General features: G+C 34.8%; 1 protein-coding gene and 1 pseudogene across 1 annotated transcript; both read right to left on the bottom strand.

The window, feature by feature from the left end:
- Positions 6,674–7,569, bottom strand: OR6C69P (olfactory receptor family 6 subfamily C member 69 pseudogene; annotated as a pseudogene).
- On the bottom strand, positions 13,483–25,499 carry OR6C74 (olfactory receptor family 6 subfamily C member 74). Its single transcript, NM_001005490.2, has 2 exons — positions 25,291–25,499; positions 13,483–22,829 (listed from the first exon to the last, which is right to left on the bottom strand). Exon 2 carries the CDS (start codon positions 22,818–22,820, stop codon positions 21,882–21,884), a length of 939 nt encoding a protein of 312 aa, NP_001005490.1. The 5' UTR covers positions 22,821–22,829; positions 25,291–25,499; the 3' UTR covers positions 13,483–21,881.
- Between the last annotated feature and the right edge of the window lie 462 nt (positions 25,500–25,961).

The raw sequence follows: 25,961 nt of genomic DNA, 5'->3' as shown, positions 1-25,961 counted from the left end.
TTGTGTGTTCTAAGTATATTTCAAGCTTCTCTTGAACTGTATTACTCACTTTTCTGTTGAAAATTTGGCTGTCAATGTTACTGTTCTTAATGAGAATTTTTCTGACAAAGATCTCTGTGTATGTTACGTTAAAAGTAGTTTCACTATACTCTTTTTAGGTGTAGTGTTGTATTAGTCTGTTTTCATGCTGCTGATAAAGACATACGCAAGACTGGGCAATTTACAAAAGAAAGAGGTTTAATGGACTTACAGTTCCACATGGCTGGGAAGGCCTTACAATCATGGTGTAAGACAAGGAGGAGAAAGTCAAGTCTTAAATGGCAGCAGGCAGAAAGAGAGAGAGAGAGGTTGTGCAGGGAAACTCCTCCTTATAAAATCATCAGATCTCATGAGACTTATTCACTATCATGAGAACAGCATGGGAAAGACCTGCCTCCATAATTCAATTACCTCCCACTAGGTCCCTCCCACAATAAGTGGGAATTCAAGATGAGATTTGGGTGGGGACACAGCCAAACAATATCATTCTGCCCCTGGCCCCTCCCAAATCTCATGTCCTCCCATTTCAAAACAAATCATGCCTTCTCAACAGTCCCCCAAAGTCTTAACTCATTTCAGCATTAACTCAAAAGTCCACAGCCCAAAGTCTTATCTGAGACAAAGTAAGTCCCTTAAAACTATGAGCCTGTAAAACCAAAGCAAGATAGTTACTTCCTAGACACAATGGGGGTACAGGCATTGTGTAAATACAGCTGCTCCAAATGGGAGAAATTGGCCAAAACAAAGGGGATACAGCACCCTTGCAAGTTTGAAATCCAGCAAGGGAGTCAAATCTTAAAGCTCCAAAATGGTTTTCTTTGACTCCATATCTCAAATCTGGGTCATGCTGATGCAAGAGGTGGGTTCCCATGGTCTTGGGCAGCTCCACCCCTGTGGCTTTACAGGGTACAGCCTCTCTCACGGCTGCTTTCACAGGCTGGCATTGAGTGTCTGTGGTTTTTCCAGGTGAATGGTGCAAGCTGTTGGTGGATCTACCATTCTGGAGTCCGGAGGATGCTGGCCCACTTCTCACAGCTCCACTAGGCAGTGCCCCAGTAAGGACTCTGCAGGGGGTGCTCCCACAAAACATTTCCCTTCCACACTGCCCTACAGAGGTTCTTCATGAGGGCCTCACCCCTGTAGCAAACTTCTGCCTGGACATCCAGGCATTTCCATACATCCTCTGAAATCTAGGCAGAGGTCCCAAACCCCAATTCTTGATATTGGTGACTTGCAGGCTCAACATCACATGGAAGCTGCCAAGGCTTGGGGTTTCCACCCTCTGAAGCTACAGCCCGAACTCGCTCTACGTTGGACCCTTTCAGCCATGGCTGAAGCAGCTGGGACACAGGGCACCAAGTCCCTAGGCTGCACACAACATGGGGACCCTGGGCCCAGCCCACAAAACCACTTTTTCCCCCTAGGCCTCCAGGCCTTTGATGTGAGGGACTGCCATGAAGACCCCTGACATGCCCTGGAGACATTTTCCCCATTGTTTTGGGGATTAAAATTCAGCTCCTCATTACTTACGCAAATTTCGGCCAGCTTGAATTTCTCCCCAGAAAATGGAATTTTCTTTTCTATTGCATTGTCAGGCTGCAAATTTTCCAAACTTTTGTGCTCTCTTTCCCTTATAAAGCTGAATGCCTTTAAAAGCACCCAAGTCACATCTTGAATGCTTTGCTGCTTAGAAATTTCTTCTGCCAGATACCATAAATGATCTCTCTTTGCTAAAACATAACAAGACTTACCTTTGCTCCAGTTCCCAGCAAGTTCCTCATCTCCATCTGAGACCACCGCAGCCTGGTCTTTATTGTCTGTATCACTGTCAGCATTTTGGGCAAAGGTGTCGAACAAGTCTCTAGGAAGTTCCAAACTTTCCCACATTTTCCTGTCTTCTTCTGAGCCCTCCAAACTGTTCCAACCCCTGCCTGTTACCTAGTTCCAAAGTCCCTTCCACATTTTCAGGTATCTTTTTCAGCAGTTCCCCACTCTACTTGTACCAATTTACTGCATTAGTCTGCTTTCACACTGCTAATAAAGACATGTCCAAGACTGGGCAATTTACAAAAGAAAGAGGTTTAACGGACTCACAGTTCTACGTGGCTGGGGAGGCCTCACAATCATGGCAGAAGGCAAGGAGGAGCAAGTCACATCTTACATGGATGGCAGCAGGCAAATAGAGAGAGGGAGAGCTTGTGCAGGGAAACTCCTTCTTACAAAACCATCAGATCTCGTGACTTATTCACTACTGTGAGAACAGCACAGAAAAGACCTGCCCCATGATTCAATTACCTCCCACCAGGTACCTCGATAAATACATGGGAATTAAAGATGAGATTCGAGTGGAGACACAGCCAAACCATATCAAGTGTTGATTGATAAATTTAATATTTAGGAATCATTCAGAGGAGAATGCAGCCAAGGAGATGAGAAAGAACCACTAATAAGCCTATGTAGAAAACCAGATAATATTTCATTAAACCTAGACAAAGAAATTACATCAAATAGAAGGCACTGATCAACTGAGATTCATTATCATCACTAAATAGATGATTCATGAATTTGGAAAAAGAAGGATTGGTGAATTACAGGCTAAAAATTGAGAAGAGATTGAGATTGAGAATGAGAAGAGAATGTGAATTTGAAAAGTAAGGATAACAATAATAGCCATAGGTAGCCATAGGTAGGCAATGGTGCTTTCCAAATCAATATTACAAAACAAGCAAGAAGTATCTTTTAGAAGTAGAATATTCCAAGTATTTGATTACAATAGAAACCTTGATTCAGCTTTGAGTAAATAATACCATAAATATAAAGCAAAAAAAAAAAGTAAAAAAATAAGAAAAGAAAGCATCTGTAACTAAACTTTTTAAATCGTTACCAACTAATGAAAATTAGTATCTATTTGTTACAAGTTACAATATCTGACTATAGGTATTCTAACATATTTGAGGAAAAGAGACATGAAGGATAGGCAATATATTCTAAAATATAAAAAAATACATTTTGAGGCCGGGCGCGGTGGCTCACGCCTGTAATCCCAGCACTTTGGGAGGCCGAGGCGGGCGGATCACGAGGTCAGGAGATCGAGACCATCCTGGCTAACACGGTGAAACCCCGTCTCTACTAAAAATACAAAAAATTAGCTGGGCGAGGTGGCGGGCGCCTGTAGTCCCAGCTACTCAGGAGGCTGAGGCAGGAGAATGGCGTGAACCCCAGGGGGCGGAGGCTGCAGTGAGCCGAGATTGCGCCACTGCACTCCAGCCTGGGCGACAGCGAGACTCCGTCTCAAAAAAAAAAAAAAAAAATACATTTTGAAATATTCAGTAACAGTTCAGGCTCTGCTGAGAACTTCTTTTTATGAGAAATGTCCTAAAATGTTAAAAGATTCTAATCATAGATTACAGCTAATGTGACTTAGCCTTAAATTATTTTTAACTTACTAAGAAATTTACTCATTAAGAAATTTACAAATAAAATTTATTCTGGAGAGGAAAGCATTTTATATTACTGTTTAATTGATCAAATTTTGAGCTATTTCTTGAAACAAAACATGAAAGTTTTGACAGTTTTCCTTTGAATAGCAAATGAATGTCTTTTAAGTATATGTATTTTAATTTGGAAATATTAATGTGATGGATTAACCAAACATGTCTGCATATAAAGTTAGTTGGAGAAGCACATATCTATTATAATTTATTGTGAAACGAACTAAGTAAAATAAGTAATTTGATGGCTAAGTCAACTGGCAGACTAGAATGACCTTTGTAGGATAGTTGCTATTGAGTCGCTAAACAAAAATTAAATGGTACAAAAAGGTTGCACAGAGAATTGAATGATTAACTCTGCCTTGTAAAGACAGTTAATGTTCTTAAGAAAGGTAACACAAGGTATTAGGAGGCAAAAGAGTGTGGAAGCTTTATGTGAGGATCCTTACCAACCAGGGAAAAGTAATACCACTAATTATCCTTTTAGTCTTTATCCTGGAGTGCTCAGTATGCAAAGAAAATAAATGTCCTCTAATGCATAGCTCAGAAAGGACAGAAGATTAAAGTTTAAAAGACAACAAAGTCTTCAACTGCATAGTGAAAACTAAGCCTTGCTGAGCTTAAATTTTGACCATGCTTTTTAGCTCCACATCTTTCAAGGCCATCTTAACCTCACTGAGATATCTTTTGATCCTATGCCTAATGCTAATAATAATTTTTATATCACACTGTTATTTCCAGAATTGGTCAATCAGATAGAATATCAAGCAGTCCCTGTCATTTAGTGAGTAGTACACAAGATAAAGGTCTTATTTTAATACCACAGTTTGTACATCACCTGAGAAGAAAAGCTGAAAGCATTTTAGCATAAAGCATTTCAACATTTCAGGTAGAAGCTCTCTCAAGAAGTAAGAAGTACCTGTATTTAAAAAGCTGTGTTACAAGCTGAAGACCAATAATTTAAAACAAAACAAAAAGAGACACTATTAATAAACTACCTGGAGATTAATAATTCAGAGGCCAGTGGTAGTGATTCTAATAGGTATAATGTAAGTGATATGTCATAAACCAACTGAAGCACCAGAGATGGCAGATGATATAACTAATCCACCTGGAAAGGGAAGAAGTCAGGAGGAATGGGGAAGTTTTGCTTTAAGTGTACTAGATCTTTATTAAGAGTTACAGAGCATTCACTTTCTAAAGTAGATGACAGAAAATTTAAAACATATAAACTATTTCAGAATAACTCAGGAACAAATTAGTGATTTAACTTGGGCAAGATATTTTAAGCAAACTGATCCTCCTTGGCACATAACAGTAAAAACTAATCAGAAGATTGAGAGAGCCTTAGGATTTGCTTTTATTAGATTGCGTCAAAATGTTGTATGTATATTTTTCATTTCCTGTGCTCTTAAAATTTCTAAAAGTTTGGCTGGGCATGGCAGATCACACCTGTAATCCCAGCCCTTTGGGAGGCTGAGGTGGGCAGATCACTTGAGGTCAGGAGTTCAAGACCAGCCTGGCCAACATGGTGAAACCCCATCTATTAAAAATACAAAAATTAGCCGGGTGTGGTGGTGCGCACCTGCAGTCCTAGCTACTAGGTAGGCTGAGGCAAAGAATAGCTTGGGCCCCAAAGGAGGATCCTGCAGTGAGATCATGCCATTATACTCCACCCTGGGTGATAGAGTGAGACTCCATCTCAAAAAAAAAAGAAAATCTAAAAGTTAACTAACACTATAGGAAATGGAAATGGAAAAGTAAGTATACTTAAATGACAGAAGAAAATTAATCAATGTTTAAATAACCCCTTTTCCTAAAATCATATTTATAATCCAAATATCTTTCAAGGCCTAATTCATTTTATAATTTCTACAAACACTTGTGTAATTGTCCAGTTAATTACATACTATATGTATTTTTCTCCCTGACTATATTTTGTTCTTCCCCTGTAGATGTTATTATTTAAACATATTTTCTTCCAATCAAGATCCACAATTTTTAAAATATGAAATAAAAAATAATGTGGCCTAATACACAAACATTTATGAAAAAAATCGTGAAATAGGATGTGTATCTGTGAAAATATTTTCTATTTTTTTATTTAAAAATATTCTGGTCATCACACAGAAATTAATTTCTAATCGAATCTGACCTATAGCTAGAAAATCTCCTTAAGAGACAGTTTTAATTCTTCTGTTATCCTGGTCTCACTGATTGGAACTATATCTATGTATGCATATGTCTATATCTATGTATACCATTCATATATATATATTTGATATATATATTAGAAAATACATTCTGAAAAAATAACTACATTGAGTTCACATTGATCTTATTTAATAATCATTCACAAATCATTTGCAGTTAGCTTCAGAGCATCCCAAGTGAGGCAAAGAGAGTTTTGAGAGGTATGAAAATATGAATTAAATATTCTATTTTAAAAATAAACCAATACAATAATGCATTGTCTCTCAACCATAACTTAAACTGTTTGTAAATATAGCTTCTCATAGAAACAAAATAACTAGATTCTGTAGAATATGTTTTAAAATAAAAATTACATACATTAATATACATTTTTAAATTATTCTCAACACTTATGATCAAATATGTTATAATTGTCTTTTAATTTCCTTAAATAGAATATATACCAATAAGTTAGTAGTTTGACAAAATATAAATAAATATTAGTTTTAATTTGGTTATAATTAATCACAGGTAAAAGAAAATATAATAACCTTTGCATTGCATGATACATCAAATGAAATTTAAATAAAATAATACTTAATAGTCTTGGTTAACTGGAATGCTTAAAAGTCAAATGAGATATAGTGAAAAATTTAGCTCAATTTCTTTCAGATGTCTAAATAAAAAATAAGATAGAAATAAAAACTACCTATCATAAAATAGTGAAAGAAAATTAGCTTCTCTAAAACAAAAAATTTTATGAAAAAGTTTGAAAAGACATGAAGATAAATATCAAAGCAATAGAAAGAAAAAGAGAGAGAACTGTGTCATGGAAGCTACTACTGTACTACAATGACATTATTTGAGACTCCTTTCTTCATTACCTTTATATAATACAATTGAATGTTCATTTCCTTGAGAAAGAGACAATCCTGTACCTTACACGCAATGAAGGCTTTTTTCACTTGTTGGTTTCTTAAGGTACAGATGAAAGGGTTCAAAAGTGGAGCAACAGAGGTATTGAGCACCGAAATTCCCTTTGAAAAAGATATCTTTTGTTTGACCAATGGCTTAACATACATGAAGATGCAGCTGCCATAAGAAAGGGATATCACAATCATGTGAGAAGAACATGTGGAAAAAGCCTTTTTCTTCTCACTGGTTGAAGGGATTTTTAGAATTGTCAGGGCAATGTAAGTATATGATATTATCACCATTACCAATGTGACTAAGAGTGTCACCAACGCTGAAATTAATCCCATCCTCTCCAGGAGCTGCGTGTCTGTGCAAGAAATCTGCAGGAGTGGAGTAGTGTCACAGTAGAAATGATCAACGACGTTGGAGGCACAGAAGTCAAGATTTAGGCCTAATGGGAGTGTGGAAAGATGATGAGAAAACCAGCAAGCCAACACCCAAGCACAAGATGCATGCAGATTTTGCTGCTCATGATGGTGGTGTAATGCAGAGGCTTACAGATGGCCACATAGCGGTTGTAGGACATGGCTGCCAGCAAGTAAAATTCTGACCCTCCAAGTAGGAAGGCAAAAAACACTTGAGTGACACAACTGTTATAGGAAATGCTTTTGTCCCCAGTTGCCATAGTAACTAACAATTTAGGGATGCATGTAGTAGTATAGGAAATTTCTAAGAAGGAAAAATTCCGAAGGAAAAAATACATGGGAGTCTTAAGGTGAATATCCACCAGGGTGAGTGTGATGATAATCAGATTGCCAGTGATGCTCAGCACATAGGTGAGAAGCAGGAAGATAAACAACACAACTTTCAATTCTGGGTTATCAGTCAAACCTGCTAGGATGAACACCGTCATTCTGGTATGGTTTCTCATTACTATCCTCTGAATTTTATCAGCTCTGTATAGAAAAAAGTAATAATTATCTTTACAGAAAAATAACAGTGATCACAGTGTTTAAGCTAAAGTTAGCAAAGTGAGGTTTCAGATACAGCAATACGATGTTCATTAATATTTTCAAGAAGCTTATGACAGGAAGAATAATAGTTTGTGTTTCCAGAGGATTTGGATAGAGAACTAAAACTTTGCTACCCAAGAATAATCTACATTCTGATAGTAATTGCTCGTTTATTTTATGTGAATTAATTACAGAGAAATTAAAAGAACTTAAAGGATAGAAAATGCTTTTTCTTTCTTGATAATATGCAAGAATTTGGATGGCACACCACTTTTTGCTCAAAGAAGTTTAATTGAAGAAAAATTTTTAAATTTTGCATATAAAACCCCAAATGATACCTGTCATTAGAAGTACATGTGACCATATTTTGCATTTAACATGCACACACACATACACACACACAAACACACACAAATCTAACCATCACTGATAACCAGTGCCAGTATACCTTTATCATTTTACTCAACTAATCAAACTCAAATGCTTGATTACTGTCTCATTAACTTTCATTTCTAATAAGATCCAGTTTCAGATCAGTGAAAATGAGGCACAGGGAATGATTTCATTCACTATTCTTTTTAGTGTTTCCATCACCTTAATCTCCGTTGGTACCTACCCAAGCTTTCCCATACTGAACCTCAATACCAAATCAGCAGTAACAGTCTAATAATGTTAGCAAGCCACTGCAGTTTTCCTCTGAGGTTTCGCTCTTGAGAATGGACCAGATAAAGTGAAAAGTGGGATATAGGAAAACAGAAGCAGAGAGAAATACATAAATATGGGTTTAGGAAATTGTATGTTGTGAAAGAAGTAAAGACAAAGCTGTATGAAAAGCTAGAGAGACAAGAAAGATTTTAGAGATAGGGTAACGAGATAGAGGAAAGAATTAAAAGAAGATTAAAATAGGTAAGTTAATAAAAATTATAAGGGTGAAATTTTTAGTAATGAAATTTCTCTGTGTTTTTGTTCTACATACTCACATTTCTTCTTTGTGTAAAATAGAGATTGAAAACATGAACAATTTTGAGTTCAGCATGGCCTTGAAAAAGGAATATTTGGTAAATTACAAATGCATAATGAATCATTGAAGAGTGTTGACACAAAATTTTAGGAGGCATATAATGATATTCAAATATCCAGATAATATGGAATTAAAGAGATAATAATAATAGTTAGCACTTTTCTACATCCGGTATATGTGATGAGTGAGACAGTGAGATCAAGAAACAAAATTGTTCAGGTTTACACAGCTAGCAAATTTGAGATCCAGTATTAAGATTGAGTTTATTTTCCAAAATGTCTTCTGGTACACAAGCAATTGTATACCAGCTATAGTGCATTTCTTAAAACAAAGCAATTAATGATATATCTAGGGAAAATTTTCTTCCTGGGCATTTTAATCACCAAACACATGAAATAAGTCTTTGTGATGTGCATGACATTATATAGGACTATGTTTTCTGTTGTGAAAATATCAATTTAATTATTTCCAATCACAGAAGCATACATTACTAAGAAGGCAGACACATGAGTAAAAATAAACATATGAAAACAAGTCAAAGCTGTTTCCAATAATATCTAGAGAAGTTTGCAGGAGGTAATTTGGATTCTAAGATAGGTCTTAGAGGGAGATAAGGAAATAAGACGAGTTATTCCTAGCAAAGGGAAAGCCTGAACAGAAACAAAGGGAAGGGCACATGCATGACTTCATTAGAAACAACGAGTAGCATTCTGCTATTAAAACCGTGCGTGTTAATAATGCAGGCATACGTGAGTGAAATGAAATGACTGTTATTTTTCCCTGGACATTGCTTTCACATTCATATAATTATGAACCAATCTGTCACAAAATTTTTCTTGTTTATACAAATTGCCGTAGAAGCCATCATTGTAGGAATCCATATATCTAAAACACCTAAATCAGAGTTTTGTCATGTTAGACCATTCCTTTGACCAACTTCAACCATCATACATATCAACTATTCCCCAACAGCACTGTAAAAATCATGAAACTCACTGTATAAAACCAAGAGAAGTCAGGCCTATGAATGCAATTTAAAGGTTAAAAAAAGGAAAGATTAAACTTTAATGGTAAAATAAGAACAAACCTTAATCACAACTTGTCTGAAAGGAAATATTTCCTTTAGCTTTTAGAAACATTAATTATTTTTATCTTTTTGAGTTATATTTCTTCAAAATTTTAAAATAAAAACATTTATATGAAACATGCAAAAAATTATTAAAGATATAGACAGATTTATTTAGACAAAAGCATCTCTGCTTTAACATTTAACTCTTTTATCATTATGCTGAATCAAGCATATTGATACTACATTTCTCTCTGAATGAATCTCTCTATCCCATAATCTATGATGATTATTTCTCACCTATAAATAGCAATCTTGGAAATGCCTTGTTTAGCTATTTTATTGCAGTTAGACTAGTGCATTAAAATTCCTCTTAACTGTATGTTAATTATTTATGTATTGAATGTTTTCCTAAGTAGTATTACACACAGTGCCACATAAAATTAATCAACTCTTGATCCCTTGGAGTTTTTATGCTTTCTGTGCCCTGAAGAAAAATAAAGATTATGAAGGATTCTCAGGAAAATATCAGATCCAAGAACACCATTTCCCAAAGGATGACTACTTCATATGTTATTCACATGTTCTCTCAAGGCACTAAATAACTTTAAAAACAAAATACCTACTTAAAAATAACTACATTAAACAAACAGTGTCTCAAGAGAAATCAGTGTAGATTGCCCCAATATGTGTTTGTCCTCCCATCTCTATGTTTTGAAATCCCAGATATATAGATGAGGATTTGGAAGCATTATATAGTATCATATAATGTTTTAACATTCAATATTCATCAAAGTGTATTTTTAAATATGATACTCTTTCTCAAGGGAAGTGGGGATATTTTGTGCATTAACCACAAAGAATAAAAAATGTACTGGGCCTTGTTTTTCTTGTTTAAAAGGTTGAAGCTTGAAGCTAAGTATACTTAGTGCTTATAAACATTCTTTACCTTAATTGAAATATTACATTAAACATTGACAGACATAAAAAAGAAAACTATTATTTTATGCGAGACTAAAAGGTGGGAATATAAAATGGAGAACGTAGCCTGTCATAGACAAAATCCACCTCAAGCTAAATGCACATCATTAATTCATCAGGTACAACTGAACATTTTATGTCCTATATAAATTTGACTTTCTTTTCTGCAAGTTATACTTTCTGCAGTCCTTGGGATATTGTCTAGTGGTCTGAAACACATTTCATTATAGATAACCATTTTCCACTTCTTCCATATTAATAGAAGTTTCCATGTCTTTGCCTTTGGTACAATTTATGGTAACCTTGTGGATAAATTCTGGCCAAAGGATGGAAACATAGATAGTTTGTGCAATTTCCCGGAATCATCCTTCATGTTCTTGTCAGCATCTCTTTTCCCCTAAAGGTGGAGGACAATGTAGAGGAGGCCCTAATGTGCACACAATGCACCCAATTCACAAATGGGGGACCCCAACTATATTAAATTCCCAGTCTTTTTAGAGACTACTTGCAAAGCTGCCTAACTTTTTCCCACTAGAAGACAATACTCTGGTCAGTAAAAAAGAAAGACACCTCTCAAAGGTGGGCACAACAATGTAGAAGACCAATTCGGAAAGTGTAAGTTTATGTAAAATAGGTGAAGGGTGAGAATCAATCAAAGAAAAGTGCGCCCAATGGGAAGATAGGTTCTCAATTCAGTTCAAGGATTTAACTTGTAGCTTGGCCTTCAGGCATTAAACTGTCTTCTGCTTGGAGGTGAGGTTTCACTGTGGACGTGCCCCTATCTGCCTAAGCATTTGACTACCTCCTGTCACTATCAAGTTACATGCAGATGGTGTAATAGTACCTTATTGTCACTATCAAGTGACATGCAGGTGGTGTAACAGTACCTCCTGTCACTATCAAGTGACATGCAGGTGGTGTAATAGTACCTTATTGTCTCTGTTATCCTGACAGAGCCATCTCTGTCTGGTAAAGGATGGAAGATGCAGCAGTCCATCAAAATTAAGGCTCTTGTGGCAGACGTAGAGTGGAAGTTTTCTTCTGGAGGAAAGGGCCCAGGATACTTCTTAAAGGCAAAGATTACTAATACCTCTCTCCATGGCCCCTGAGTATACAAGGTGTTTTCTCCTCATATGCCAGCTTTTTCTCTACCTATACTTCCTTCAAATCTGGGTTCTACATTCCTGTAGCTATAGCTTCACCTTTTTTTTTCTCCCAATCATAGCCGACTCATATTCAGATCTTTCATCTAGAAGAGTCAGGTAAATGAAGAAAAACGAAATTTTTTTTAAATTTCAACAAGTATCAAACTCTAATTTCTTAGGCCCCCTTGTGTCCAAATTACCACCTGGAAGGTATGGCACCAGCCTTATCTAGATTTGATCTTAGGGAAAAGAAAGGTACATCATTCTTTGAATGACTGAGGTGGAATTTTGAATTTTCAAAGTAAGTCTGTATAATTCCCAACCACTTTTATCTTGATCATTACCCTGGAAGAAGATGAGTAGTCAAGTCTGGGAACAGCTGCATTCAATGACCATACTGCTTTACCTAGGTGCATGGATCAGGAAGAGATGAGGAGGCAGAGGCTATTAGTCCTTTGCTGAATAGCTTGGACAATAAAAGTTGTCAAACTGTAGATGCTCTGAGGATCTAAAGACATGACACAGATAATGTCAAAGATCACAGTTGTGTGCCATAGTCAACTTATCAGTAACCTAAAACAGCATCTACCCGGTGAGGCACTACCAATAGACCCAAGGTAGTCAAGTTGCCAAAAGCAGGAGGAGGCAACATTCCTTGCAATATGGCCTACCCCAGCATGAGAAAAGCAAGTCAACTTTTGACAGGAGCTGCAAATATGCCATGCAATGATAGCATCTGCATTAGAAACATAGAGCCAAACTCTATCAGCAGCCTGATTCTAGTTATTTTTCTTATGAGAAAATGGTGTTAAAAACCAAGATCTGGGCACTGGGTGTGCTTATTGCTACTGGGCTGTTTTTGCTTCTAGACACTCTCAGGTGACAGAGCAAGGAAATATAGGTGTTTATATTAACCTACGCCTAGACACACAATGATAAATATTTTATAGTATCAATCTGTATATATATTAAATTAAACTTTAGTTTATACCGTCACCATGTTTAAAATGCCATCACGAGTCATTCCTTATCAGTAATCTCCCAATGCAGCAGTGAGATACTGGCTTCCATCATCTGCCATCCACTTGCTCAATCATTCAGTTCCAGTATGTATGTGTATTGGGAGAAAACTTTATTAACTTCACTGTATTGGTTATGTATAGTTCCTTTTGACGTTAGTCTTACTGACTCCACTTATTTCTCTTAGGTCAGCAACTTTTTACACTATGCCCTTCAGTGAGGTTGTGTCACACATTTGTAATATAGCTAAATTCTTCCACATTCTATTGTGATATCCCAGATTTTTTTTTAATTTTCACACATTAGAAGCATTCTTTGTATTGTAAAGTTCTACTGGTTTTGACAACTGCACGGTGTTATGTTATTGCAGGATCTGGCCAGCAGTCCGCAATGCAATGAGGGGCTCTTTCTTTATTCCCAGGCAGATTGGCAGGTCGAGAAATAATAGACACACACAAGACAGTGAAAGCTGGGTCCAGGGGGGTCACCGCCTTCTAGTCCCGCGATGCCACTAATGCACTGGATATACCAGCATTTATTATTAAGTTTAGTGAGGGCGGGGCAGGTTAGTGAGGGATTTAGGGTCTTTTGATTATGAGGTGAGATGGTCACATGGGGATGAAGTAGTTCTTTAACATAACATCTGTATGCAGAAGTACAGTATACAGAGATAAGAGTTTACAATATAGTGTGTGCATCAGTAATTTCTAACAGAGCCTTAAAACAGAAACACAGTCTTTCCATAACCTATGATTAGCAAGTTATTAATCAGCAGTAACAGTTGCAGCAAAAGCTGGTTACAAACAATCCATAGAAACAGGAGGTGAAGCTAGACAACCGGTTAGACCGGAAAATATCAGAAGGGAGTATGCCTTACCCCCAAAGAGGCCTAGAAGAGCTGTGGCAAGATGAGGGCGTTTATAGCCCTATCTTATCCATATGAACAGGTGCCCCCCCAATGCGTCCATTTATAGGCTCTACACAAGGGTCCCATTCCATTCCCAGAGCTATGAACATCTGCTTTTCTGGGACAGGAATCTTGGTGATGTGAAACCTCCCTGACTGCATGTCCGTTCGTAGGCTCTCTGCAGGGGGAAGCACATCATGTGCTGTTGGCTCATTCTGGCAGTCCAACCTGGCATTGTCTTTACACAATCCTGCATGCAATTTTGTATTTACAATAATCAGGAGCATTTCACCTTTTATTCCATAGCAATAGTTTCAGGGGGTCTCCCTACATTATGTATTCATCTTTACATTACTATATAGAATAATTTTACTACCCTAACCAAAGATTCCCTATGCTTCCTCGTTTAATCCTTACTCCAACAAAGTCCTGGCAACCACTGATATGTTACTTTCTCTATAAATTTATCTCTACCAGAATATTATATAAATGAAATTAAATAATTTATAGCCTTTTAAGTCTGCCTAGTTTCATTGAGAAATATGCATTTAAAATTCTTCTCTGTCATTGTTCAACTCCCACTTATGAGTGAGAACATGCGGTGTTTGGTTTTCTGTTCTTGTGTTAGTTTGCTGAGAATGATAGTTTCCAGCATCATCCATGTCCCTGCAAAGGATATGAACTCATCGTTTTTTATGGATGTATATTTTATAGTGTTCCATGGTGTATATGTACCACATTTTCTTTATCCAACCTATCATTGATGGGCATTTGGGTTGGTTCCAAGTCTTTGCTATTGCTAATAGTGCCACAATAAACATATGTGTGCATGTGTCTTTATAGTAGAATGATTTATAATCCTTTGGGTATATACCCAGTAATGGGATTGCTGGGTCAAATGGTATTTCTAGTTCTAGATCCTTGAGGAATCACCACACTGTCTTCCACAATGGTTGAACTAATTTATACTCCCACCAACAGTGTAAAAGTGTTCCTACTTCTCCACATCCTCACCAACATCTGTTGTTTCCTCGTTCCCTTTGCCTCCCAGTCCCCAGGGGGTGCAATGCAGAGGGGGCTCCATGGGTAGAGCAGACACAATCAGTCTGTAACACAACTGTGAAATCCTGAACTTAGGGAACCCCCACTATTTTAAAGAGATAGCTAGAAAACCTGCCCAACCTGGCCACCCTGGGAGACATCTATTTTATAATCCTAGTCAGGAAGCAAATCTCCCTTCTGCCCTGGAGGGAGGTATTATTTCGATCTTTCAAGGCTGAATGATATTAAAACAACTTTGTAAAAAAAAATCCAGACCAAGCATAATATTAAATGTGTAGAAATGCCATGGAGAATTGCAACCTAACAGTGATAACTGATATATTTGGTACTACAAGTGGTTGCATGAAATAGATCCTTAAGAAGGGTAATTTATAATTAGTTAATATCATCTTGAAAGGTCTGAGAAGTGCTGCAACCATAAGAAAATGGAATATTACAAGTCTATGGCATCAAATATTATCACTTGGAAAGAAGCTTATATTTAAGGCTGAGCTTTCTCAAAGTAGATGTATAAGGTAAAGAGCACTGTGCTAAGCATGTGAAATACAAGTACTGCACATGCTATAAGGCTATAACATGGTAAGATCCATATTGAGGATCTTAAAGAAAGAAAATTACAAGGTTGTATCCTTTAATTATTATCTTGAATTATACAATAATCAGCAAATCATGAAGTTCCCATGACTGTCCTAAATAAATTTATCTCTTAAATCCTCATGTCACTTGGTGCTGAAAACAAAGGTAGGCTCTGATCTCGCAGTTTATTATACAGCAATATTGGTTAAATTTACATCCTTCCCAGATATCTTTTGTGAAAGTTAATTGATTGGAAATCTGAAAGGATCCCAACTGGGAATTACATATATGTGTGTATGTATTTCATATATGTAAATATAAATCTAAAACTTAGAGGAATTGCAATATGGAACAGCTTTATTGTATGCAATTTACTTACATACCCCTTAGCTATGTAACTGGAGAATACCCAGAGGAAAATCTTTTGGCAAGATATTAAAATATTCACAAGGGTATTTGCTAGCAGCTTTAAAAAGTATTGTAACCACTGGTTTGAAATGAAGATGGAAGATGCTTTTGTTAAAATGAACTCCCTGATTTCAGTGGACATGATGGATCATGGAAAGTCAGAGGCTATGTAATAGCACTTAACTGATATGAGCATATTCAGTGTGGTTACTTATTGGTCAGTATGGCCGAAGTAGTTATCAATATTGCATGATGCACTTTAGTAGTGAACAACAGATTATGAAGTTCCTAGGACTAAAATAAACAGGCAGCTCATTAGGTTTCTAACTGGTCCATATAATTGAAAGAACTCTAGGATAAGTGAAAGGAAGAATGAATTAGCCATCATAATGGAGTTAAAGCTCCTTATTCAATTACAGACTTCAATCCTTTCATAGAACCAGAACCCATGAAGAAAGTTGTCTTTGCAAAACTGTCATGCATATTAATATCCAAATCTTCCGCTAGTGTCCTTCAATAGATATGTGGTCCTTTCCCAAGAAAATCGTACAGTGAAATCAATGAAACATGGATTTTTCAGAGGTTATTCCACCTCATTTCTGAGCTAAGCTTAATTACAATGACTATAAAATGCCAGTGTGTTTACTTATAAGAGTGGAAGAAATTGGAGTCAGAGACATTTTCCTGATAAGTTATGATTATGTGCTAGTCTGTTTTACAGTGAACCTAGTGCATGTGCAAAGTTGTCCTGTGCATACAGTTAAAACACATATATTCAGGGCCAAGTGGAAAACCATATGGTCTCCCTCACTAAGAGATAATAAACAGACAGCATCATTATATCCTTGGAAAAGCTTCAAAGCTAGTGCCACCATCAAAGACTTAAAAAACAAAGATGCAGGAGTGGTGACTTAATCCACATACCCATTGAACTCAACTGTCTGCCTCTCCTAACACAGATAAATTTTAGCAGATGATAATGAACCCATAAGTTAAATTAGGTAGTAAATTCAATTGCAACTGTCTTTTCAGTTATGGCCCATTTACTAGAATAAATCAAAAATAATTCTGGCACTAAATATCCAGTTATTGATTTTGGGAATGAATGTTTATGGATTAATAGATAATACAAGAATTTATTGGCACAACCTGCAAATAAAATGGTATACCTTTGTACTCTAGCCCTTTGCCATCATTTATTCCACAGGCCAGCAAACCATAGCCCACAGGCCAAGGATTGTTTTGGTACAGACTTCCACCTGAGATCCTGAGATGTATTTTACATTTTTAAAGGGTTGTTAGAAGAGAAAGGAGAAGGAAGGGGAGGTGGAGAAGAAAAAAAAGGAAGAGAAGCAAATCAGAAATGTATGATGATATGCTAAGTAATAATTTAAAAACTTGTATCAGATACAGAATCAGAATTTCTTATGTAAAGTATTTTAAAAGACACATTGAAGAGAATTATGGAATTTTATTTTATAAGTAGACATAGCCTAGTTTTCCCTTCCCTATGACAACAGGTCTCCATCAGTAATATGTTTTCTTGAAGATATCACCCCCTTACTCTGTTCCAAAACAGATGGTGTTTTAAAAATATGGGAAAAAGTAACCCATTATCAAAAGAAAGTTGAATTAAAAGAGAAATTTGGAAATTGACTGTTTGAAATTCTTTCCACGATTTTTGTTACTGGAAATTATTTAAACTCATTAAATATAAAAATACTCATCTACTCATTAGAAAACTTGAAAACATAATCATTTTAATATTTTAAAACATTTGTGTGCTTTTAGAAAATTACATAAAAATGCAAAATCAAGACAGCTGATTAACATTAATGTAGTCAATTTCAAAAAAAAAAGCATATTTGAATGGGATTGAAGAATAATTATTGTGATTTCCAGTTCATTTAAAATGGATCCACATTATTGTGAAGCATTAACTTTGCACTACAACAACCCACATAACTAAGTACAAGGTAAAATAAACTGTAATAAGACTTGCAGTTCATTTCACACAATAATTACATAAGTATTTGCAAGTATAATAAAGTATGCTGAATTAAAATGAAACTAATATTTGTACCATAAGTAAAATTAAAAGTTATACTGTAAAGTTATATTATTAAAATATATTGATCATTTTGTATAATTTCCTTTATTAATTCCTATTTTTCTATTAAAATTTCAAAATATTTTATACTATTGTTTATATATAAATTATAAACTGATAAATGTGCATGTACCATGAAAAATATACATATATTTACTAATTGAATGTTTGATAAACACCAGTTGCACACTTACACTTATAAAAAGAAAAGCAAGTCCATAATTTTTGAGAACACAGTAATCTTAATATTTGAAGGTAGCATTTATTTTTCTTATAAGCAATTTTTTCTCAAGCTCCATGTCATTAGTACCCTAAATATTTTCTCATATGACATAATTTCTAAATTTATGATAATATTGACTATTCTTTTACTTCAAAAGATTTTTAAAGGATAAAACTAAACAGAATTTTTGAGATATGTATGATACAATGGGACTTTATTGTATCATACAATTGAATTATCTCTTCAATGCTCATAAACACTCCATATTTATAGTAAACTTGTAGTTTTCTAACACCTAATTTTTTTTTCATATTGCCTGTCATCAAGTCCAATCTATTAATTATTTTATAGTAGACATCCTTAATCTAGGCTTACATTTTTATATTAAGCCCTATCAAATGCCACATTTTAATCTTATTTTATAGATGAACATATTAACTTCACTCATCTCCTGTCATTTGCTGCCTTATTTATTTTATTTATTCCTTACTAGGCACCGGCTTGGATGAAGAGAATGTAGAAAACTATGAGATTTAGAGTTCGTTGCAAGAAATAAATATAGTTAATTACATGTGCTATGATAAGCACCATCTAGAGTTGACTACAAACACTACAAAATTTGAGTATGAAGTGACTAACATATACTTGTCGACCAGCCTTCCACAGAAGTCTCCATGTTAATTAACTTTAACTGATTGAAGTTTTGCAAGCTAACAGAGATTTGGGCAATGGGCAGGCATTCAATATACGTGACAGCACACAAGTTTTGCAATATACTTAGTTGTTTAGTGTGGTTACATCATAGAAGTACTAGTTGGAAGAGATAAGAAACCAAACTGGACAGGCCAGGTTATGCAAATATTTGGGGAATTTTGTCATTATTTTGCAGGCAACGGAGAACCATCAATAATGTATTAGTAGAGTGGTGGCATGACTGATTTGTATTTTAGAAAGTATCCTACTAGCAATGTGGAGGATGAGTTAGAGATCAAAGGCAGGAAGGCTATGTAATAGACAATTGACATACCTTGAGTCTAGCTTGTCTTAATACTTACTCAGTATATATTAGGTTGGTACAAAAGGAATTGTGATTTCACCATTACTTTTAGTGGTGAAATTAAATTTTAATGGTGAAATTTTAATTACTTTTAATGGTGAAACTGCAATTCCTTTTGCGCCAACCTAATACTGGTGAAAAACAGTTGGTTATTTTTTTCCTTTTCACTTCCAGAAAAATGAATATTAGAAATGAGTTAAACAGGTGAACAAATGAGATTTTAATATTTTTTAGAATCCTAGCACAATTTAAAAATTTTAAGTGCCTATAATGGACCCTGATCTCTGGTATTTACACAATAAATCAGATTGCTAGTGATTTATTTCAAATTAAGTAAAAAATGATCTTCACTAATCTTTTCCCATCGTAACTTAGGCCTAGGGTTTCTTTCCTTTTGCTTTTTCTGTTATCTACTTACAAACAACCTAGAAATAGAAAAAAATCCATCTATTCTAAGTAGTTAAGTCTACTAAGTATATTTCTGAATTTCACAAAATTGTCAATAATTCATTTTTGGATTAAAAAAGGGGAGAAAAAGTTTTTAATATACATTCAATGATTTATGGATTTACCTATATATTAGACTTTAAAAAGAGCTGAGCTTAGAGTTCATGTATAAAGAATAAGTTTTAAAAGTAAGCAATGTAATACTTAGAAATATAAAATAAATATGTTACATATTTGCATTTGGCAACAACTTAAATTGTGGAGAAGAGTGTTCAGAAGAAAATCTGAGATATTCCAGATCAGACTTTTTGTCAGATTCCAAACATTTTGAGTCAACTTTTCTTGAGTGTCGTTATTATCTATAAAGTATAATTATTTGTGTATAAACCATCATTCTCAGCAAGCTATCGCAAGGACAAAAAACCAAACACCGCATGTTGTCACTCATAGGTGGGAATTGAACAATAAGAACACCTGGACACAGGAAGGCGAACATCACACACCGGGGCCTGCTGTGAGGTGGGGGGAGAGGGGAGGGATAGCATTAGGAGATATACCTAATGTAAATGACAAGTTAATGGGTGCAGCACACCAACATGGCACATGTATACATATGTTAACAAACCTGCACGTTGTGCACATGTACCCTAGAACTTAAAGTATAATAATAAAAAAAAACTTAAATTCCTGATGCAAAGAAAGCCAAATAGTGAAAGTTAAAGAATACTCCCTAGATATTTATTTTCTATTTTCAAATAAAATGTTCTTAAAGTATTGCAGTATTATAAAAACCATTTACACATACATGACCACTATTGAAAAGTCTATTTGAATCTTCTCAGCTTCTCAGTGCCCTGTTAATATTTATTTAGATATATATATATTTAAAGCTTCTCACTAATGCTTGTAAAATTCAAATAAAATTTCTTGCTAGCCTGGGGATATGACAAAGTTATATACACTTGGAAATACATTAAGATAAAATGTATATAATAATTTTATAAGTCAGAAAAATAAATCCTTCCAGTCAGAATTATTCATAAGGTTATCAGTTACCTTATGTGGAAACTAAATCATAGACAAATATTTCTTGAGGAAACTGACATTAGTCTTTCAGAAAAAGTTTTCTTGTCTTATAACACTGAGATAGGGTACTATTGAAAGGAAAAGTTTTTAAATACTCTGCACATGATCAGTCATTATATCTAATTTTAATGTTCAAACCACTTAATTTGAAAAATAAGGTACTCTGTGGAGCTGTAAGGTCTTAATTTTATCTATGACATCCATAAATCTATAGAATGTTCTACAAAGGTCTTACTGTTCTTTTGCATTCTAAGTGACTTAAGAGCAGAGAGAGATTTTCACTTCGTTTTGCTAAAAATGTGTAAGCGGTGAGTGGACATGAAGGCATCATTTTTGTCATCCTTGGGTATTTATTTTTGTTGTCATCAACAAATTATTTAATCCTTATGACTTATATTTTTAATCCATAAATGGAGCATATAAATACCTGTCTTACAGAGTTTTGAAGATGGAACTAATAAATTTAATAACATCTGGCACATTGTAAGCAATCAATAAATGCTAGCTGTAAGTTCTATATGATAGCTGCAATAGCAGTAATGCTTTAACCTCTCTGAAGTTTCTTTCATTTATTTCTGAGAGTATACTATATCTCTAAGCCTGGTTAAAAAAAATTGAAGCTATTAAACTGTGTAATTAAAGAAATGCCATTAAATTGATTTGCTTCGAGATTCTACTAAACACTAAGAAAGAAAGCAGATTTCACTTTTGTATCCACCAATAATGCACGCGTTAAGTGATCAAACCTAGGTAGTCTACTGAACTCTATGTAGAATATATGACAAATTGGGTCCTTGAATTCCAGAAGAGTGGAAAAGAGCATGGAAAAACTGAAGTCTCACTTTGTCTTCCTCTGAGAGAATTTTGAGAGGAAATAAAAGAGGCAATAAATAACAGGCAAATGATTTTGACCAAAACCAAGAAATATCTTTTCTATGTGATCTCAGCATGAGGGAGAAATGGCAGTGAAGGTTAGGCTTTGGAGATTAGGAAGGCCATAATGAAAATTATAAGTCAAAAAAGAGGTAATATTATTGAATACAAACATTGAAAAACTTTGCACATACTCCACTCTTCTTGTTTTATTTTACTAATAACCTTAATAATATCGTTAAAGTGATTCATTTCATTGAGAAAAGTTCAATCTTTTTGACTGTGTGCTTAAAAACATCTTTTACTTGTTTGTTTCTCAGTGTATAAATAAAGGGATTCAACATGGGGGCAACAGAAGTGCTGAGCAGAGCTATCCCTTTATTTAATGACACTCTTTCTTTTGCTGAGGGTTTCACATACATGAAGATGCAGCTGCCATAAGAAATGGACACGACCACCATGTGGGAAGAACATGTAGAAAATGCTTTTTTTCTCTGTTGAGAAGAAGGTATTTTCAGAATAGTCCTGATAATATTTGTGTAGGAGAGAATCACTAATACCAGTGTAACCAGGAGCGTCAAAATGGCTGAGAGAAGCATCATTAATTCTATTATGTCAGTGTCTGTGCAAGAGAGCTGCAGTATAGGAGAAACATCACAGAAGAAATGATCTACAGTGTTGGCTGCACAGAAATCAAGCTGGAGACCCATCAGGAGTGGCGGAAAAATTATTAGGAAGCCAGCCATCCATGAAGCAAAGACCAGCAAGCTGCAAACTCTGCTGCTCATGATGGTGGTGTAATGCAGGGGTTTGCAGATGGCCACATAGCGCTCATAGGACATGGCAGCCAGAAGAAAAAATTCAGTTGCCCCCAAGAGAATAGTGAAAAACAGCTGTGCTGCACAATCGTTGTAAGAAATGGTCTTATCACCTGTTGCCATACTAACAAGAAATTTGGGAATGTAGACAGTTGTGAATGAGACTTCTAAAAATGAGAAATTTCGGAGGAAGAAATACATGGGTGTCTTGAGATGCAAATCCAGTAGGGTGAGAGTGATGATGGTTAGATTCCCAGTGATGCTCAACATGTAGGTGAAAAAAAGGAGAAGAAAAATAATCACCTGTAATTGTGGATCATCTGTCAGTCCAAGAAGAATAAAGTTTGCTACTGTTGTATGGTTTCTCATAGTTGATTTCTATTTTTAAAAATAAGAAGAAAAATTAGAACAGAAGAGGAAAGGTCTGCATGAGATACCCATTTTTCTTGAAATCCACCATAAAGACATTGCTACCCACACCCGACCTCCTTTAACAGCAGCCTATAAAAATTAACTTATGTGATTTTTACTCAAAATGTTGCTAAATACATGCAACTTTTTGAGTTTGTTCTGTTTTCTCAATGGCCATAAATGTAAGCATTGCGAAGGGATAATATGTTGCATCGATAAAAGTCATGTCAATATAAAAACAAACACAAGAACTATCATAATATTTCAACTTTTATATTCTGTATTTGAATTTTTTCTGAAGTATTTAAATTATTTTATACCATCTGGTGATTCACTCTTTGCTCAATGAAGTTTTTTTCTGTGTTTGTTAGTCTTTTTTCTAGACTTTGCTATTCATTAATTCAGATTTCAGCTGAGAACTCTGTCTTTTAAGATCAAAGCAAAGTTGATTTAAACATCTCTTGGCTTCCACAGTGGGAATTCAATACCCTCACCAAACTTCTAAAAACTCTCCAAGGTCTCCATCCTCATGACCATTTTTATCTCTGCTTTCCCAATTTTCCTGAAAACTTGAATTTACATTTATCTCACTCACTCTGCTTGTTCTCTTTTCTGTATTTACTCAAGCAGATATAAACTCTATCCTCATACATGATGCTTGTGTTATGTAGTGCATTTGCAGAATATTTGCAGTGACAGAGGAGGGTCCTACAAAACAAACTATTTAAAAATAAAATGTGGCTTGTGCCTGTAATCCCAGCTACTTGGAAGAATGAGGCAGGAAGATTGCTTTGAGACCAGGAATTCAAGGCTTCAGTGAACTATGATCATGCCACTGCACTCCAGCCTGGATGACAGAGCAAGACCATGCCTATAAATAAATCAGTGAAAATCAAATGTTAGCTGGACTTCCCTCGTAATTGTCATTAGTGTCACTGCTCTGCATGTTTCCCCCTGTTGCCATGGCCATCTCTTTTCTTCTGTATCTTATTCACATCCTCTCTCTCTTTTCTAGTTCAGCACATAGCAATTCAAAATTATGTTAACTTTTTTATTTTTCTTGTTTTTCTATCTTTTTCCAGACCATGCTTAGGTCCTCACGTTTATCACCTGACAAGTCTATCATCACCAAGTTTTTCTTAATAATGACAACACTTTCCCCAAGAAGAATATTGTGCCATATGTTAAACTGTATATGAACATTATTACATTGTGTATATTCCAGCTCTGGAGTGAAACACATACACAAGCATTTCCAGTGATTATAAATGATTACAAAATAAATAAAATTTTGTCCTAATCTCTCTTCATTTTCTTTTGTACTTTTCCCCTTCCTTTCCCATTATTTTTGGTTGATCATTTTTCTAAAAATGTATGGTCATTTAAATGTAGTCCATATTCATTAGGAAGTTTTTTAAAATTAAAAATCATAGTTTATATTAAAGCTCAAAAAACACAGGAAAACCTCAATCAACAAAAGATGAGTTATAAGCCAGAGAATGCAGTCAGAAAGTAATTTATATGGACACTGTCCAGCCTAAATTTAAATTATAAAATATAAAAATAACAAGCAAAACAGCAATGAAAAAACTATTATAACCTACTTGACAGCATTAATTTTCTACTGAATACCACAATAAAATGCTTGCTGGGTGATAGTAAAATAGTCATATGTTTCCAACCACCAGTATAGTCCCAAAGGCAACTGCAGCTGTTTTGGCAAGTTATAGGTAAGATAGATTCCTTTGGGATATGAAAAGTAGATTTTACATGAAATGTTTAAATAACATTGAATGCAACATGACTACATATAGGGAAAAATTTTTTCAAGTTCAGGAAAAAAATTATTTTTTCAGTATTATATTTCACAATGTTTACAAAGACTATGAATACTAGAGGCATATGCAATTATAATTACAGAAGGGAAAATGCATTCATTTAATAAAATGCATTCCTGAGATTCAATTGTATGTTGCAAAGAATATTTCATCAAAACTAGGCATCTGCAAGGTGAAAGGTTCAAAGCTTTCTTATAACACACTTAATTTTTTCAGTACAACTTCTCAAATGGTTAGCTTAATGTTTGCTTTGTAAAAAACAAAAACAAAAACAAACTAGTTATAATTTCATGCCATACTGTTTCAATAGCTTTACAAAGAAATTATTTTCTTCCTCTAGCTTCATGCAACAAAGTTAGTATGATTAAAATAAAGACATAATTTTTTCCAAACTTTAATGTATTTAGTAGCAATTTCATTCCCAATTGTCTTTTTTCAGGTAAGTCCCAGCACAGAGGTAATTTTTGAATATTGCATCTTCTTATATTTTTATGTTGCTTTTGTCCATATTTCTCATCCAAAAAATACATTAATGCCAGAAACACTCAGGATGTTTAGGCTTGAAGATTTTATTATGACATTAATCTTACCTAGGTTCATTTCTTCTCATGATTTTTATTAATAAGATGTTCTCTGATTTATGTTGTATTAAATTAAATTTGGAGCATATATCTACCTCTATGTTTATCATATCTCTTCTATATATACATATATGTGTATATATAATCTAGAGAGAAGAAGAACAAAGAGAAGGTTTCTAGCTTGTTGTTCACGCTGAGGTGTTTCTAGTCTATACGAGGAATACGATAGCTTATAGTTTTTAAGACTGGAAGAACTATAATCCTTTTTATACACTGTGCCATTTGTCTCAAGAGGATTAACTAATTTAGTAATTTTATAAAAGAAGGAAACATTTCCCTGAAGACTATTGGACTAGGATGCTGAAGATGTATTAAAATCATTTTATTGAGTGGCAAAAACTCTATAATTCATAAGCTGAAGTTTAAAAACCAGAAAAGAACTACATTTTGAGGTGGCTATATGTTATAAACTATAAGGCAGTTTAAAAATACTTAAGTTGGCTTACATGTTCATAAAAAACACACATTTCAAAAAAGAATAAACTCACTGATCTATAGGGTGAAACAACTTCAGAGCATTACTAAAATTTTGGATTCAGATTAATTCAATAAAGACATAAATAAGACTTATAAAGACTTACATTCCTTAGGTTCACTCTCAATGCTATCTTTTCGGGTGG

Source organism: Homo sapiens, chromosome 12, assembly GCF_000001405.40.
Source record: "Homo sapiens chromosome 12, GRCh38.p14 Primary Assembly".
Lineage (NCBI taxonomy): Eukaryota > Metazoa > Chordata > Mammalia > Primates > Hominidae > Homo > Homo sapiens.
This window is presented reverse-complemented; position numbering and strand designations above follow the sequence as displayed.

Excerpts from the sequence above, each read along its gene's own strand:
- OR6C74 (NM_001005490.2), bottom strand. The coding sequence starts at position 22,820 with ATGAGAAACCATACAACAGTAGCAAACTTTATTCTTCTTGGACTGACA.